Source organism: Homo sapiens, chromosome 12 (assembly GCF_000001405.40).
Source record: "Homo sapiens chromosome 12, GRCh38.p14 Primary Assembly".
Taxonomy (NCBI): Eukaryota; Metazoa; Chordata; class Mammalia; order Primates; family Hominidae; genus Homo; species Homo sapiens.
This window is the reverse complement of record NC_000012.12, coordinates 95,488,854-95,504,574: the sequence shown is the minus strand read 5'-3', so window position 1 is coordinate 95,504,574 and position 15,721 is coordinate 95,488,854. Positions and strand designations below refer to the sequence as shown.

Sequence of the window (15,721 nt, the reverse complement as noted above, 5' to 3'; positions counted from 1 at the left end):
CAGTGAGCTCTGGTTGCACCACTGCGCTCCAGCCTGGATGACGGAACGAGACCCTGTCTTTAAAAAACAAACAAAACAAAAAACAACAACAAAAAAAATCACAATGAGAAGTCATCAATGGCAAGAGACCTGGCTTCTCTCAGCCTTGATTTGACTAGTCACAGAAAACTGGCTGCACATTTTGGCTGCCCTAGGATATTTCCTCAGGTGTTTTCTTATCAGCTAACAGAGTGGCTTGGCAATAGTTTCCAGTTAGTTACAACACTACTCCTACCATGCTCTAAGCAGGTCATTTCCCGTCTTCTTTCCTTGAATTACCAAGATAGAAACATGAAGCAGCTGACCCAAAGAAAACACTCGACAATAGTTTGTAAAATCAATTTCAAAATAAGATATATTTTAAAAGAACATACCTTGATATGTCTTCCCATCTATTTCAACTTCATAGGACTCCATAACTTCTTGGATGGCCTCACCAACATCACACAGACGAACATCAATTCCAGCACACTAAAAAAAGAGTAACATATGCTTTATTATTCAAAGTGCAAAATTTTCATAGCAACTTAATTTTGTAACATTTAAAAACAAGGGACAATCAGAAAAACTGCTTTGTACATTGTAACTTCCTGTTTAAAATACTTTGCAGAGGATTATGGGAGGATAGTGAAGTATTAAGCACCAGGAATCTGCCTCCCTAAATAGACAACAAGTGCACTGACAAAATCTGTCTAATGTAAGTACTTGGGAACTCTGGAGTCTACTGAAGCCTTGCAACTTCCAGGGGAATAATGGGATGGTCAAGTGTGGTTATTTCCATCCATTTTAGCTCTCAGCACAGTAGCAGCACTGCTACATACCGTTCCATAAACTCATGGTTGGCTCGTGTTCCTGGAGCAACACGCACACAGCTTGGGGGTATGGGAGTGGGCAGAACAGTCTATGTCCTAAACATCAGGGATCTGTGCTTTGATCCCTGGTTGCTGCTTCTGGTCACATAGGCGCAGATACAGAAGTGGCCACTGTTGTTGCATCTCCCCTCATAGTTGCACACCTCAGCGCTTACACACCCCTGTGGCTGAAGTGACTTTCAGAGGATTTAAATGGTGAGCACCCCTTTCCCCTCCACTCCCTCACACTCAGCATGGCCTCCCGTCCATACTCATTTTTCTTGTTCTCCCCCTCTGGGGCCCAGATATTAAAGACTAGGTCATTCAAAAACAACTGCATATATGAGAAAATTCTAAAAGTGAGCACACATGCCCAGGGAAAGACCTGAGAAAACCTGAAGTTCACACCTCAGGTGGATCCTTGGCAGAGATTGGTTACAAGAATGAAAAACAAAAAAACCAACACAAAAAATCTGAAAGAAATGCTGGGGAAGGGGGAATATCTGATTTTCAGAATTACCATATCACATTGAAATAGGCAGTGTTCAACATAAAGTCACAAGGCATACAAGGAAATAAGAACACCCATCAAAGGAAAATAATAAATCGACAGAAACTATCCCTGAAAAAACACCTGATGGCAGATCTACCACTACACAAAGCCTTCAAAACAACTCTTCTAAAGATACTTAAAAAATTAAAGGAAGACATTGAGAGAGCCAAAAAAAAAAAAAATGTATGAACAAAATGAAAATATCAAAAAAGAAATAGAAAACCTAAAAGAAAAAGAAATTTCTGGAGCTGAAAAGTACAGTAACTGAAATGAAAAATTCACAAGGAGAATTCAAAAGTATTTGAGCAGGCAAAAAAAAGAACCAGCAAACCTGAAGATAAGGACAAGGGAAATCACCAAGTCTAAGAATAAAAAAGATTAAAGTGAACAGAACCTCAGGGACCTGTATATCAAGTATACCAATATATGCATTATGGAAATTTTCAGAAGAAGTAGAAAGGTAAACAATAATTGAAAAAGTAATGACTGGAAACTCCCCAAATTTGATGAAATACAAGAATATAGCATCCAAGAAGTTCAAAGAACTCAAAAAAAGATGAACTCAAAGAAACCCCCCCACACACACACACAAAATGATAATCAAACTTTCTAAAGGACAAAGAAGGAAACCTGAAAGCAACAAGAAAGAAGTGATTCACTATATAAAAGGGATGCTCAATTAGACTTCAAGCACATTTCAAACTAGAAACTTTGAAGGCTAGAAGGCAGCAGTGCAACATATTCAAAGTGCTAACTAAAAGAAAAAAAGCTGTCACCCATGAATCCTATCTGGGAAAACTGTCCTTCAAAAGTGAGAAAGAAATCAGGCTAGGCGTGGTGGCTCATGTCTGTAATCCCAGCATGCTGGAAGGCCAAGGTGGGAGGATCACTTGAACCCAGGAGCTCAAGACCAGCCTGGCCAACAAAGTGAGACCCCCATCTCTACAAAAAAGTTTTAAAAATTAGCAAGGTATTGTGGCACACGCCTATAGTCCCAGCTACTTGGAGAACTGAGGTGGGAGGATTTCCTGAGCCCAGGAGGTCGAGGATGCAGTGAGCCATGATCATACCACTGCGCTCCAGCCTGGGCAACAGAGCAAAACCCTGTTTCAATTTGGAAAAAAAAAAAAAAAAAATTATATTAAAAAAAAAGTGAGGGGGAAATTAAGATTCCCAGACGAAAGCTGATGGAGTTCATTACTACTAGACCGGGCCTGCAAGAAGTGCTCAAGAAATGCCCTGCAAAGGATACTATGTAGTAACTTGAAGCCATATGAATTTTTTTAAAATCTCAATAAAGTAAAAAAAAAAAGGCCAATTGTAACAACTAGTATTATTCTAACAATAGTCTGCAAACACTATTTGTTTTCCACATGACTTAAGGAACTAATATATTTACTTTTTTTTTTTTTCTTTTTGAAACGGAGTTTTGCTCTGTCGCCAGGCTGGAGTGCAGTGGCGCAATCTCAGCTGACTGCAACCTCCATCTCCTGGGTACAAGCCATTCTCCTGCCTCAGCCTCCTGAGTAGCTGGGACTACAGGCGCATGCCACTAAGCCTAGCTAATTTTTGTACTTTTAGTAGAGACGGGGTTTCACCACGTTGGCCAGAACAGTCTCAATCTCTTGACCTCGTGATCCGCCCGCCTCAGCCTCCCAAGTGCTGGGATTACAGGCATGAGCCACCGCGCGCGGCCAAAATTATTTTTATTCTAAAAGCTAGTATTATTATTAACTTTGGTTTATAATTCCATATTCTATTTTTTACATAATTCAAGAGACTAATGCATTTAAAAGAATTATTAGGTCGGACACAGTGGCTCATGCCTGTAATCTCAACACTTTGGGAAGCCAAGGTGGGAGGATGGCTTGTGACCAGGAGTTCCAGACCAGCCTGGGCAAGACAGCAAGACCCTGTATCTACAAAAAATTTAAAATATTATTTTATTGTTTAAATTAGCTGGGTGTAGTGGTACACGCCTGTGGTCCCGGCTACTTGGGAGCTGAGGCAGGAGTCTGCTTGAGCCCAGTAGGTCAAGGCTGCAGTGAACTGTGTTCATACCACTGTACTCCAGCCTGGGTAACAAGGGAGACCTGTCTCAAAAAAAAAAAAAAAAAAAAAAAATCCCAACAAAGGAAAACTTTGAACCTGATGGCTTCCACTGGTTAATTCTACCAAACATTTAAAGAACTAATACCTCCTCAAACTTTTCTAAAAACCTCAAGAGAATACTTTCTAAGTCATTACATGAAACCAGCATTACTCTGATACCAAAGCGAGGCAAAGACACTATAAGAAAACTATAGGCCAATATTCTAATGAACACTGATGCAAAATCCTTAACAAAATATTAACAAACCAAGTTCGACTGCATATTAAAAGGAATACACACCATGACTTAGTGGGATTTATTCCAAAGATGGTTCAACATAAGAAAAACAGATCAATCTAATAATACACATTAACAGAATGAAGAAAAATAACCATATGACTGTCTGAATTGATGCAGAAAAAGCATGACAAAATTCAACACCCTTTCATGATGAAAGGCTCAACAAATTAAGAACAGAAGTCAACCACCTCAACGTAATAAAAGCCATCTATGAAAAACCTACAGCTAACATCATACTCAATGGTCAAAGATGGAAAACTTTCCTCTAAGATCACAAACAAGTCAAGGAAGGATATCCACTTTTGCCGTTTTTACTCAACACAGGTCAGAACAATCAGGCAAGAAAAATAAAAAGGCATCTAAATTGGGATGGAAGTAAAACTATCTCTGTTCACAGATTATATGATCTTACCTAGGGAAAACCCTAAAGATTCCACACAAAAGAAGTGTCAGAATAAATTAATTCAACCAAGTACAAGATACAAAGTCAAAACATAAAAATCAGTTGCATTTCTACATACTAACAATGAACAATCTGAAAAGGAAATTACAAAAACAATTCCATTAACAATAACTAAAAAAAAAAAACTTAGGAATTAACCCCAAGAAGGTGAAACACATTAAAACACATGTACAATGAATACTATAAAACATTGCTGAAATAAATTAAAGACATAAATGGAAACACATCTGATACGGTTTGACTCTGTGTCCCCACCCAAATCTCCTCTCGAATTGTAATCCCCATGTGCTGAGAGAGGGAGGTGATAGGATCATGGGGGTGGTTCCCCCATGTTGTTCTCATGATAGGAAGTTCTCATGAGACCTGATAGTTTTATAAACATCTGGCACTTCCCCTGCTTGCAGTTCTCTCTCCTGCTGCCATGTGAAGAAGGTCTTTGCTTTCCCTTTGCCTTTTGCCTTGATTCTAAGTTTCCTGAGGCCTCCCTACTGATGTGGAACTGTGGATAATTAAACTTCTTTCCATTATGAATTACCCAGTCTCAGGTATTTCTTTATAGCAGTGTGAAAATGAACTAACACAACATCTCATGTCTATGAATTAGAAGACTTAGTATTATTAAAATGTCAATACCATCTGAAGCCATCTACACATTCAACACAATCCCTATCAAAATCCATTTGGTGTTTTTTGCAGAAAAAAAAAATCCTAAATTCGTATGGAATCCCAAGACATCCTAGATAGACAAACAATTTTGAAAAAGAACAAAGATGGAGAATTTACACTTCTCAATTTCAAAACTTACAACAAAGCTACAGTAATCAAAACAGTGTGGACATCAGACACAATAGTTCATGCCTGTAATCCCAGCACTCTGGGAGGCTGAGGCAGGAGGACTGCTTGAGGCCAGAAGTTCAAGACCAACCTGAGCAACACAGTGAGACTTGTCTCTATAAAAAACAAACAAAATTGATGGGTACGGTGGCATGAGCCTGTAGTTCCAACTACTTATGAGGATGAAGTAGAAGAACTGCTTAAACCCAGGAAGTACAGGTTGCAGCGAGCCAAGATCACACCACTGCGCTCCAGCTTGGGTGACAGAGCAAGACCCTGTCTCAAAACTAAAACCAAAACCAAAACAAACCAAAAAAACCCAATGTGGTATTGACATAAAGACAGACATATAAACCAATACAATAAAATGAACAGCCCAGAAATAAACCCTCACTTACAAAAACAAATGATTTCTTTTTTTTTTTTTGGGACAGGGTCTTGCTTTTTTACCCAGGCTGGAACGCAGTGGCGTAATCTTGTCTCACTGAGGCCTCAACCTCCCTGGGCTCACGTGATCCTCCCACCAGAGCCTCCTGAGTAGCTGGGACCACAAGGGTGCACCATCACACCTGGCTAATTTGTTTAATTTTTGGTAGAGTTGGGGTCTTGCTATCTTACCCAGGCTAGACTTTAACTACTGAGCTCAAACGATCCTCCCACCTCGGACTCCAAAAGGGCTGAGATTATAGGCATGAGGCACTGTGCCTGACCCAGATGAGCTTTGACAAGGGTGTCAAAACCATTGAAAAGCAAAAGAACAGTCTTAACAAATGGTGCTGGGAAAACTGGACATTCACATGCAAAAGAATGAATGTGGACCCTTACTTAACACCATATAAAAAATTAACTCAAAATGGATCAAAGACCTAAGTTGAAGACCTGAAACTATAAATACCTTAAAAGGAAACGGAGTAAAAGCTTCATGACATTAAATTTAGCAATGATTTACTGGATATGACACCAAAGGCACAGGCAACAAAAGAAAAAATAGACAAACTGGACTTCATGACAACATTTTATGCTTCAAAACACAATATCCGGAGTAAAAAGGTAACCCACAATATGAGAAAAAGGATTTTCAAATAATATATCTGATACAGGATTAACATCCAGAATCTATACAGAATTCCTAAAACTCAACAACAAACGACTCAATTAAAAAGCAGGCAAAGAGCTGGGCAGGGTGGCTCATGCCTGTAATCCCAGCACTTTGGGAGGACAAGGTGAGGGTGCAGCTTGAGCTCAGGAATTCAAGATCAGCCTGGGCAACAAAGCAACACCCCCAATCTCTACTGTTTTTTTTTTTTTTTGAGATGGAGTCTCGCTCAGTCGCCCAGGCTGGAGTGCAGTGGGGCGATCTCGGCTCACTGCAAGCTCCGCCTCCCAGGTTCACGCCATTCTCCTGCCTCAGCCTCCTCAGTAGCTGGGACCACAGGCGCCCGCCACCACACCCAGCTATTTTTTTTTTTTGGTATTTTTAGTAGAGACGGGGTTTCACCATGTTAGCCAGGATGGTCTCCATCTCCTGACTTCGTGATCCACCCGCCTTGGCCTCTCAAAGTGCTGGGATTACAGGCATGAGCCACCACATCTGGCCTACATTTTTTAATTAAAAAATAAATAAATAAAAATGGGCAAAAAACTTGAATAGACATTTCTCCAAAGATTAAAAACAAAAAACAAACAAAAACTACCCAGAAAATAGTGTTGGCAAGGAAATGGAAAAATTGGAGCCTTTCCTTGCATACTGTTGGTGGGAATGAAAATGGTACAGCCACTGTGGAAAGTAGTAGAGAAGATACTCAAAAAGTTTAAAAAGATATAATTACCAGATGATTCCCAAATCCACTTCTGGGTATATACCCAAGAATTGAAAACAGACCTTGAAGAGGTATCTATACACCCGTATTCATAGCAGCAATATTCACAATAGCTAAAACATCGGAGCAATCCAAGTGTCTATCAGTGGATGAATGGATAAGCAAAAATGTGGTATATACACACAATAGATTATTTAGCCTTAAGGAAGTAAATTCTGACACATGCTACAACATAGGTGAACCTTGAGTACATTGTGCTAAGTGAAATAAACCAGTCACAAAACAACAAACACTATATGAGGTACTTACAGCAGTAAAAATCATATATAGTAGAATGGTGGTTGCCAGGGTAGGGGGAGAAGAGGAAAATGGGAGTTACTGTTTAATGAGTATAGAGTTTCAGTTTTATAACATGAAGAGTAAACAGAGAAGAATGGTGATAATGGCTGCACAATATTATGAATGTACTTAATACCAATGAACAACATACTTAAAAATGGCCAGGCGCGGTGAATCACGCCTGTAATCCCAGCACTTTGGGAGGCCAAGGCGGGAGGATCACTTGAGATCAGGAGTTTGAGACCAGCCTGGCCAGCATGGTGAAACCCCATCTCTACTAGAAACATAAAAATCAGCCGGGAGTGGTTGTGCGTGCCTGTAATCCCAGCAACTCGGGAGGCTGAGGCAGGAGTATCACTTGAGACCAGGAGGCAGAAGATGCAGTGAGTCGAGATCGTGCCACTGCACTCCAGCCTGGGCAACAGAGTAAGACTCCATCTCAAAAAAAAAAAAAAAAAAAAAGAAAGAAAAAGTTAATATGGTAAATTTTATGTAATGTCTATTTTAACTGCACCTCCCTCCAAAAAAAAAAAAAATTTGAGTGGGTGGGGAAAAGCTGGGCTGTACCAGAGTTTGGTGGACAGAGAGGGATGAATCAGTTGAGCACAGAAGATTTTGGTGGCTATGAAAATACTCTGTATGATACTATAATGGTAGATGCGTGTCATTATATATTTGTCAAACCCCTTATGTATATTACTAAGAATGAACCCTAATGTTAACTATGAACTTTGAATAATTGTGATGTGGTCAATGCTAGTTCAAATGATTTTAACAAATATACCTATGTGGTGGGGATGCTGACAATGGAGGAAATTGGGGAGGGGTGGGTATAAGGGAAATCTCTGTACTTTCTGCTCAATTTTATTATGAACCTAAAATTGTTCTAAAAAAGAACCACAAAAAAACCACTGCCAACTGACAGGCAAAAATAGATCCAAACTCTGTTTTAATAAATTTTAGCAAAGTTCAAGGGAAACAAACAAACAAACAAAAAAACAACCTTTGGTACACAATCATACACTTACCCGCTTAAAACCATAAGGGAAATGGATCAATTTTATTCCTCTTAATTACCCAAAGCCCTTAAACAGGCCTTAAAAGTGCTTAAATGCTGTTAAGTGTTTAAAAGACCTTAAAGTGCTCAAAATATTGGGAATGAAATGGTGCTTACAGTTCACATACCTTTATTCCAGTGTTAGTAGCATCTTTTACAGCTTTTAATAACGTATCATATTTGGGATTAAAAGTGACAGTAAAAGCACAGTCAATAATCCTACCTGAAAGAGAAAATTCCTCTTTTAATTTTACTTATCAGCTAGTCAATTTATCTACTTTACAGCATTTAATCTATTAATCTTGCTAGTTTAACAGAAAAATAGAATGAAGGCTCAAATGAAGGCTGCACTCCAAATACCCAAAGATCATTCATAATCAAAGAGACAAAATGTAGAAGTATATAAAGGATTCAGAATAGAAAGAATTACAAGGTTAGTATATATTACCCCAAGACAGCACCAGTTCAGTGCTCACCCTGGCAGTTATACAAACATATAAACAGAAACAAAATGAATACAAGAAAAGACTAGGGAAATGAGAAATAGTAACGCAGGGCAGAGAAAGTATACAGGGCTCTGAATATACTTTTACTTTTCCAAGGTAGTGAAACCTTAGGCAAGTATTTATTCTAAGCTTGCTTTCTCACTTGTAAGTAAGATAACAAGGTGCTTACCTAACCAGGTTTTGGAGAGAATTCAGAAAAGCAAACATGTATATTAAGGCTGATAAACTTAAGTATTTTAAATAAATGTTATTATTTGAATAAAAGAGATATGAAACAATGACCTAAAGAAAGGTAGGATAATGTCTTTCATGCCTTGATACAAAGGGTAATAAACCTCAACTACCCAACAGTTTTCATTTTATTCTACTTAGTAGTATGCTTTCAAGTAAATGTCACAACTGCCTCTCTCTCCTATAAGTGCACTAAAATTTTTTTAAAAATCTGCCTCAACACACCTTTCCTAATGAAATGAGGAAGCAAGAACAAAATTTGGGAGTTCAGTATTTATCACTCCATTTAACAGAGACAAAAACTAGTTTTTCAGGAGGAGGCTGGGGTAGGAATTTTCTGCAAGAATTTACCACTTATATGTGTTCCAAAGTCTATTTTACAGATGTCATCATACTGTAATACTGTTGTGTCACCGGCATTGGGAGTATAATGGGCAGCACAATTATTGAGAGAACATCCAGTAGGAAATGCCAGGCCTGCATTTAATCCATTCTCTTTTATTAACTTGCGTGAACAGTCTTCCAACTTTTCACTAAAACAAAAAAGCAAAGGGAACTTGTTTACTTTTACATTCTTACTTTTATATATTAATACCATATAGTTCATCAAGTCCAGAAAGTTTACTAAAAACCTTAAATACCTTCTGGGAATGATCTGAGCACTTTCTGAATATAAATAAATAACAGTTCTCTGATGCTATGAAAATAGCATATCTTTAGAAGACAAGGAATTTGATTCTGCTAGAAAGTCAGAGAAACACAATCCACTTTTAACTAAATTTACTAGAAAATAAGAGTCTAACTTAGACCAATTTAAATGCTGATCTTATTTGTTCATGTTGTATATTTTTTAAATTGTAGGAATCAGAGAATTACATGTTATACTAACCATTTATCAAAAGGAAAAACTAGAGAATAATTACTTGAATTGGTTTTGTTACTGTATTATCATCATGTTCTGTATTTGGGCAATTGCTCCAATACTTTCTTATTTCTTAGTATGACTTGTTAGATAGCAAAATAACAGATTTCCAGATAGAAAATAACAATCAGTAATGACTACATGTGCACACAAAAGGGTGGCTGAGGTGCCAATGTGTACTCCTCTTCATGGTTTTCTCATAGTGACACTAAAATAATCTAGAAGGCATTTCTACAACCTTTACTTAAAGATTTAGCAAAGTGGTAATGAAAGCCAAACATTATAATTGGAGAGTTAGTACTTAATAAAACATTTTTTATCATGTTCTTACGAAGAAGTATTCCTTTTACCAGATTTCTATCATTGTCATCCCAGGCTTGATCCAGCTCATTACGTATTTTCTAACTTGTCGATGTGCTTCTGCAGCTTCTCGAAAATCATTCCAAATCTCTTCACTTGCCTGATCTAATGCTTTCTTTTCTTCACTTGTAGTTCTCCAAGCAGCTGTTCGCCTTTAGAGTGGGCATAGAATACTATTAGTGATAAAACAGCAGAACAAGCATAAAAGCTGACAACTATACTAAGTAACAAGACAGTTCAAATAAAAATACAGTACATATTCAGTTTATGTCAATAAAGTTTCTGAAATACAAAAAGCCAAACACTTGCAACCAACTCAAATGAAATTAAAAACTTTTTAAGACTCTAAGGGAGGGAAAAAAACCCTCATGTGAGATTTCATTCATAGTCAGAGGAACTAATACCCTGACAACACAAAAAGATAATAAAACAATCAGAAAAGTCTGAAGAGTCCTAGAATCAGAGTAAGTAGGAAAAAGTCATCCTTCCACTTGAGGTCATATATACTTTAGACACTTCAAAGGAGCACAACAACAATTTGCATTTAATTTTGCCAACAGAGTAACTACTAACCCAAGAAACTGACTTGGAAATCTGCATATACTTCCTCAAAACACATATTACATGCGTGTGCTGGGTTTTCCTAATTGTATACATAAATATAAGAGGTATTCTTCCTTGAAAGACATGGCTCACATTTTAAAACTGCCAGTGCTAACGAATTTCTTTTTTAAGAGACAGGGTCTTACTCTGTTACCCAGGCAGATGCAGTGATGTGATCATAGCTCACTACATCCTCAAACTCCTAGGTTCTTCCTGCCTCAGCTTCCCAAGCAGCTGGGAGTATACAGGTGCATACCAGCACACCCAGCTAATTTTTAAAAACTTTTTCTTTAAAGAAATGGGGTCTTGCTATGTTGTCCAGGCTGATCTTGAACTCCTGCCCCGAAGTGATCCCCCTGTCTCAGCCTCCTGAGTGGCTGGGATTACAGGCGTGAGCCACCCCAACTGACAGAATTTTTTATTCAGTATCTGGGAATAAGATCCATGACTCCTGTAGTAGGAAAAACATTAACTGCCTTAAAATGATATTTAAAAAAAAAAATCTAAACAATTTTCACACATTCTTAAATACTGAATATACAGTTTGCAACTTAGTGACCACTGAGTATAAATTACACAAGTGTAAAAGTGATACCTTCAAGGAATTGCTATTTGCCTCCCCTGTTTTATAAATAAAATTTTATTGCAACATGTGCCCACTCATTTATGTACTGTCTATAGCTATTTTCATGCTACAATGGCAAAGCTAAGTAACACTCAAGGCCTAAAATATTCACTATATGCCCTTTGAAGAAAAAGTTCACTCAACTCTGCCCTAAACTACAGACCCTGGCCAAGGTGGGAGGATCACTTGAGGCTAGTAGTTCAAGACCAACCTGACTCTGTCTCTGACTCTGTCTCTACCAAAAAAAATTAGCTGGGCGTTGGGCTTATCCCTGTAATCCCAGCTACTCAGGAGTCTGAGGCAAGAGGATCACTTGAGCCCAGAAGTTCAAGGACACAGTGAGCTATGATTGCACCACTATACCCCAGCCTGGGCAACAGACCAAGACCCTGTCTCTAAAAACATAAAATAAAAAATAAAAAATAAAAATAAATAATAAAGAAAAAAGAAACAGAATTAAAGAAATTCTTTTGCTCAAAGTCTCGAGTTCAGATAGAAAGTTATTAACAATAAGAAAAACCCAGCGTCAGGGTCTATAATTCCAGACTCCCCCAAAACTCCTTATAAGTGGACTAAAAATTTTTTTAAAATCTGCCTCAACACACCTTTACTAAGAGTATTATTTTCCTATATTTTATCTTATTTAGTTCAGTCAATTAAACAAAAGTATAGCAATTAAAGCCAGGTACAGTGGCTTACTCCTATAATCCCAACAGTTTGGGAGGCCAAAGTGGGAGGACTGCTTGAGGACAACAGTTCAAGACAATCCAGGGTGACACAGTGGGACCCTGTCTCCACCAAAATATATACACACACATATACATACACACACACACACACACACACAAACACACATATACATACACACGATAGGCCAGGTGCAGTGGCTCATGCCTATAATCCCAGCCATTTGGTAGGCTGAGGCAGGAGGACTGTTTGAGCCCAGAAGTTCAAGGTCAGCCTGGGCAACATAACAAGACTCCATCTCTACAAAAAGAAAAAACAACTTTAGCCAGGCAAGGTGGTACATGCCTGTAGTCCCAGCTACTTGGGAGAAGGGGTAGGAGGATCACTTGAGCCCCAGAGGTCAAGGCTGAACTTAGCTAGATCTCACCACTGCACTCCAGCCTGGGTGACAGAATGAGACCCTATCTCAAAAAATAGTAATGACCAGGCATGGTCGCTCACACCTGTAATCCTAGCACTTTGGGAGGGCAAGGGGGACAGACTGCATGAGTTCAGGAGTTCGAGACCAGCCTGGGCAACATAGAAAGACCCTGTTTCTACTAAAAATACAAAAAGTTACCCAGGCAAGACAGTGCACACCTGTAGTCCCAGCTACTCGGGAGGCTCAGGCACGAGAACTGCTTGAGCCTGGGAGGCAGAGGTTGCAGTGAGCCAAGACTGCACCACTGCACTCCAGCCTGGGCGACAGAATGAGGCCCTGTCTCAAAAACATAATAATAACAATTAAAATGTATGCATGTATCACATAAAATCCTTCCTCTAAAAACTGGTACTTAAAGGGTAAGAAATAAAGCATATTTTAACTCTGCCTATAAGAAGGAACTATAGTTGATTCCCAGTTGACAGAGAAAATTCTTCTTACAGAATAGTATCACCTAATAAATGTAGAAGGAATGAAAGAATCAAAAATCCACCATTTTGCAGTTCCCAATGAAATAACCCATAAAAGCAAGGATCATCAATGGATATTAAAAGAATTAAGTGAAAAGTTGTTAAGAAAAGGATATTCCTTTCTTCTCAAGTTTGTATAAACTAAATAGGAAGAAAAGGAAGGAAGATAGATATTCCAAATGATACCAAAGTAGCCCCACAGATTACTTGGAAACTGCAAAAAGCAAAAAGTACCTTTAAAAGAAAAAAAAAAAAAAAAGAGTTGGCTGTCACATTAATCAAGAGGTCAAACACAATAAAACTAACAGTAGGATAGCCTGAGATTACATCTAATGTAGCAGAATATGGTACAATGTGAAGGTCATAATCACTTATTTTATACCTCTGTCAAAAATGTTTAACCTAAATCTAATCTAAGCCCATTAACACCTAATTCCAGTTTACGGAAAACACAGAAATAGAGAAAAAAGTTTAACCCCCAACAAGGAAACAATCGGAGAAATCCCAGAACATGAGACCTCTACAACTGCCTGGTTTCTTCAAAGAGATGGGGCACTGAAGAGAAAGAGAAAAAGGTGAGGCCTCTAACCATATGCAATGAGAACCTCAAGTGGATCCTGGTTTTAGAAAGTAAACAAACATTACTATAACTACTAAAAATTAGTTTCAAAGCTACTTGGGAGGATAAGATGGGAGGATAATTTGAGCCCAGAAATTGTAAACCAGCCTGGACAATACAGCAACACCCCATCTCAAAAAAAAAAAAAAAAAAAAATACAGGCTTCAAGCTATGTGTGAGAAGAGTGTTCACAACAGTCATCTGGATACACTCAAAACAACTACCCACAACTTAATAATTACAAGAGGAAAAAACTAGTAACAATACACTTGAGAAACTGGCTAATACTTTAAACGAACGATAAAAATTAAATATCACCAATAAGGAGCAAATTGACAATGTATGCCTCTAGATATAACACCCTGAAAAGGATACTGTATATACATTATCTAGTATTCCAGCCGAAAATGCAGTCTGATCTCAAATGGCTCAGAAAAAAAAAAAAAAAAACTACTATGCCGGGTGTGGTGGCACACGCCTGTAATCCCAACACTTTGGGAGGCCAATGCAGGAGGATTGCTTAAGCCCAGAAGTTCCAGGCTACAGTGGGCTATGATCACACCGCTGTATTCCAGCCTGGCTGACAGAGTGAGACCTTGTCTCAAAACAAAAAAAAAAAGAAAAAAAACTATATATATACAGACTCACCAATTTAACATTTTTCACATTTGCCTTATATCTGTCTTCCAAGGAGAAAATGGAATGTTATTTGTATATGACAATATGCATACTTGTTGTATTTCATTGAGATAAAGAATAAAACAAATGTGGCAAAACAAAGGAAATCTAGGTGAAAGGTATGTGGGAATTCTTTGTACTATGCTTGTAGCTTTTCTGGAAGTACAAAATCATTTCAAAATAAGAAGTTTTTTGGGTTTTTTTCTGAGACAGAGTTTCACTCTTGTTGCCCAGGCTGGAGTGCAATGGTGTCATCTCAGCTCACCGCAACCTCCGCCTCCCAGGTTCAAGAGATTCTCCTGCTTCAGCCTCCCAAGTAGCTGGGATTACAGGCATGCGCCACCATGCCCGACTAATTTTGTACAAAATAAGAAGTTTTTAAAAATACACTTAACCTAGAGTAGTTTCAAAGGTGAGTTGTGATAATTCATTCAATTTCTAATAAAAGTTTATTAATAAAACAATGAAGGAAAGATACAAACTATACCAAATCTGTAAGAATACTGAATCTGATCTATTTGCAAATAGTCAAAACTGGTTATATGAATGTAAAAAGTATTGAGATTTATTAAAAAGCAAACACACCACACTATCTTATACTTATTCTGTATTTCTCCAGGATAACATACAATAATGCAATATTTAAGAAAATTACTTTGAGAAGTATTATAACATGTAATTAATATCTTCCTCTATTATTTCAAAAACAGAAGTTATTCTACTTATTTAATTTCAATAGAAGCTTAGAGTAAGGAAAAGGAAGTTTTTGAAGTTTACAAAATCTCATTTTTTTCATGTATTAAATACCACTTCAAGTGTTCCATAACATTCACATTGTTAAAAGTATTAACAATCTGTTAACAAGTATAAGAAATCAATGGCTTTCCTCCACTCTAGCAGCAAGTATAAAGAAACAGAAACGGGATTGAAATATTTAATTCACATCACTAACAAAAACCATAAAACACTAACAAATTTAATTAAAAAGGGCTAGAACCTACCTGGAAAAAATAAAATTGAATAAGTGAAAAAATATCAAAAACATCCCATGACATTGGATAAGACAAGGTGATAAACTGTCAATTTTCAGAAACTAATACATAAATATAAATGCAATTCTGATGAGAATTCTAACAAGGACATTTGTGTGTGTGTGTGTGTGTAAGGCTATATGACTGAGAGTAGCTAAGA

At 37.7% G+C, this 15,721-nt stretch overlaps 1 protein-coding gene across 5 annotated transcripts in view; it reads right to left on the bottom strand.

Moving 5' to 3' along the window:
• The window catches only part of METAP2 (methionyl aminopeptidase 2), a 41,688-nt gene that overhangs the window by 11,265 nt on the left and 14,702 nt on the right, over window positions 1-15,721 (bottom strand). For all 5 annotated transcript variants that reach the window (NR_133673.2, NM_006838.4, NM_001317182.2 and 2 more), the window contains 4 exons: window positions 10,358-10,519; window positions 9,437-9,618; window positions 8,477-8,571; window positions 414-510 (listed from right to left, as the gene is read on the bottom strand). Coding sequence is in view for 4 of the 5 variants with exons in the window: in NM_006838.4 (NP_006829.1) it covers window positions 414-510; window positions 8,477-8,571; window positions 9,437-9,618; window positions 10,358-10,519 (536 nt within the window). In the remaining variant the exon portion in view is untranslated. The remainder of the gene's footprint in view (window positions 1-413; window positions 511-8,476; window positions 8,572-9,436; window positions 9,619-10,357; window positions 10,520-15,721) is intronic.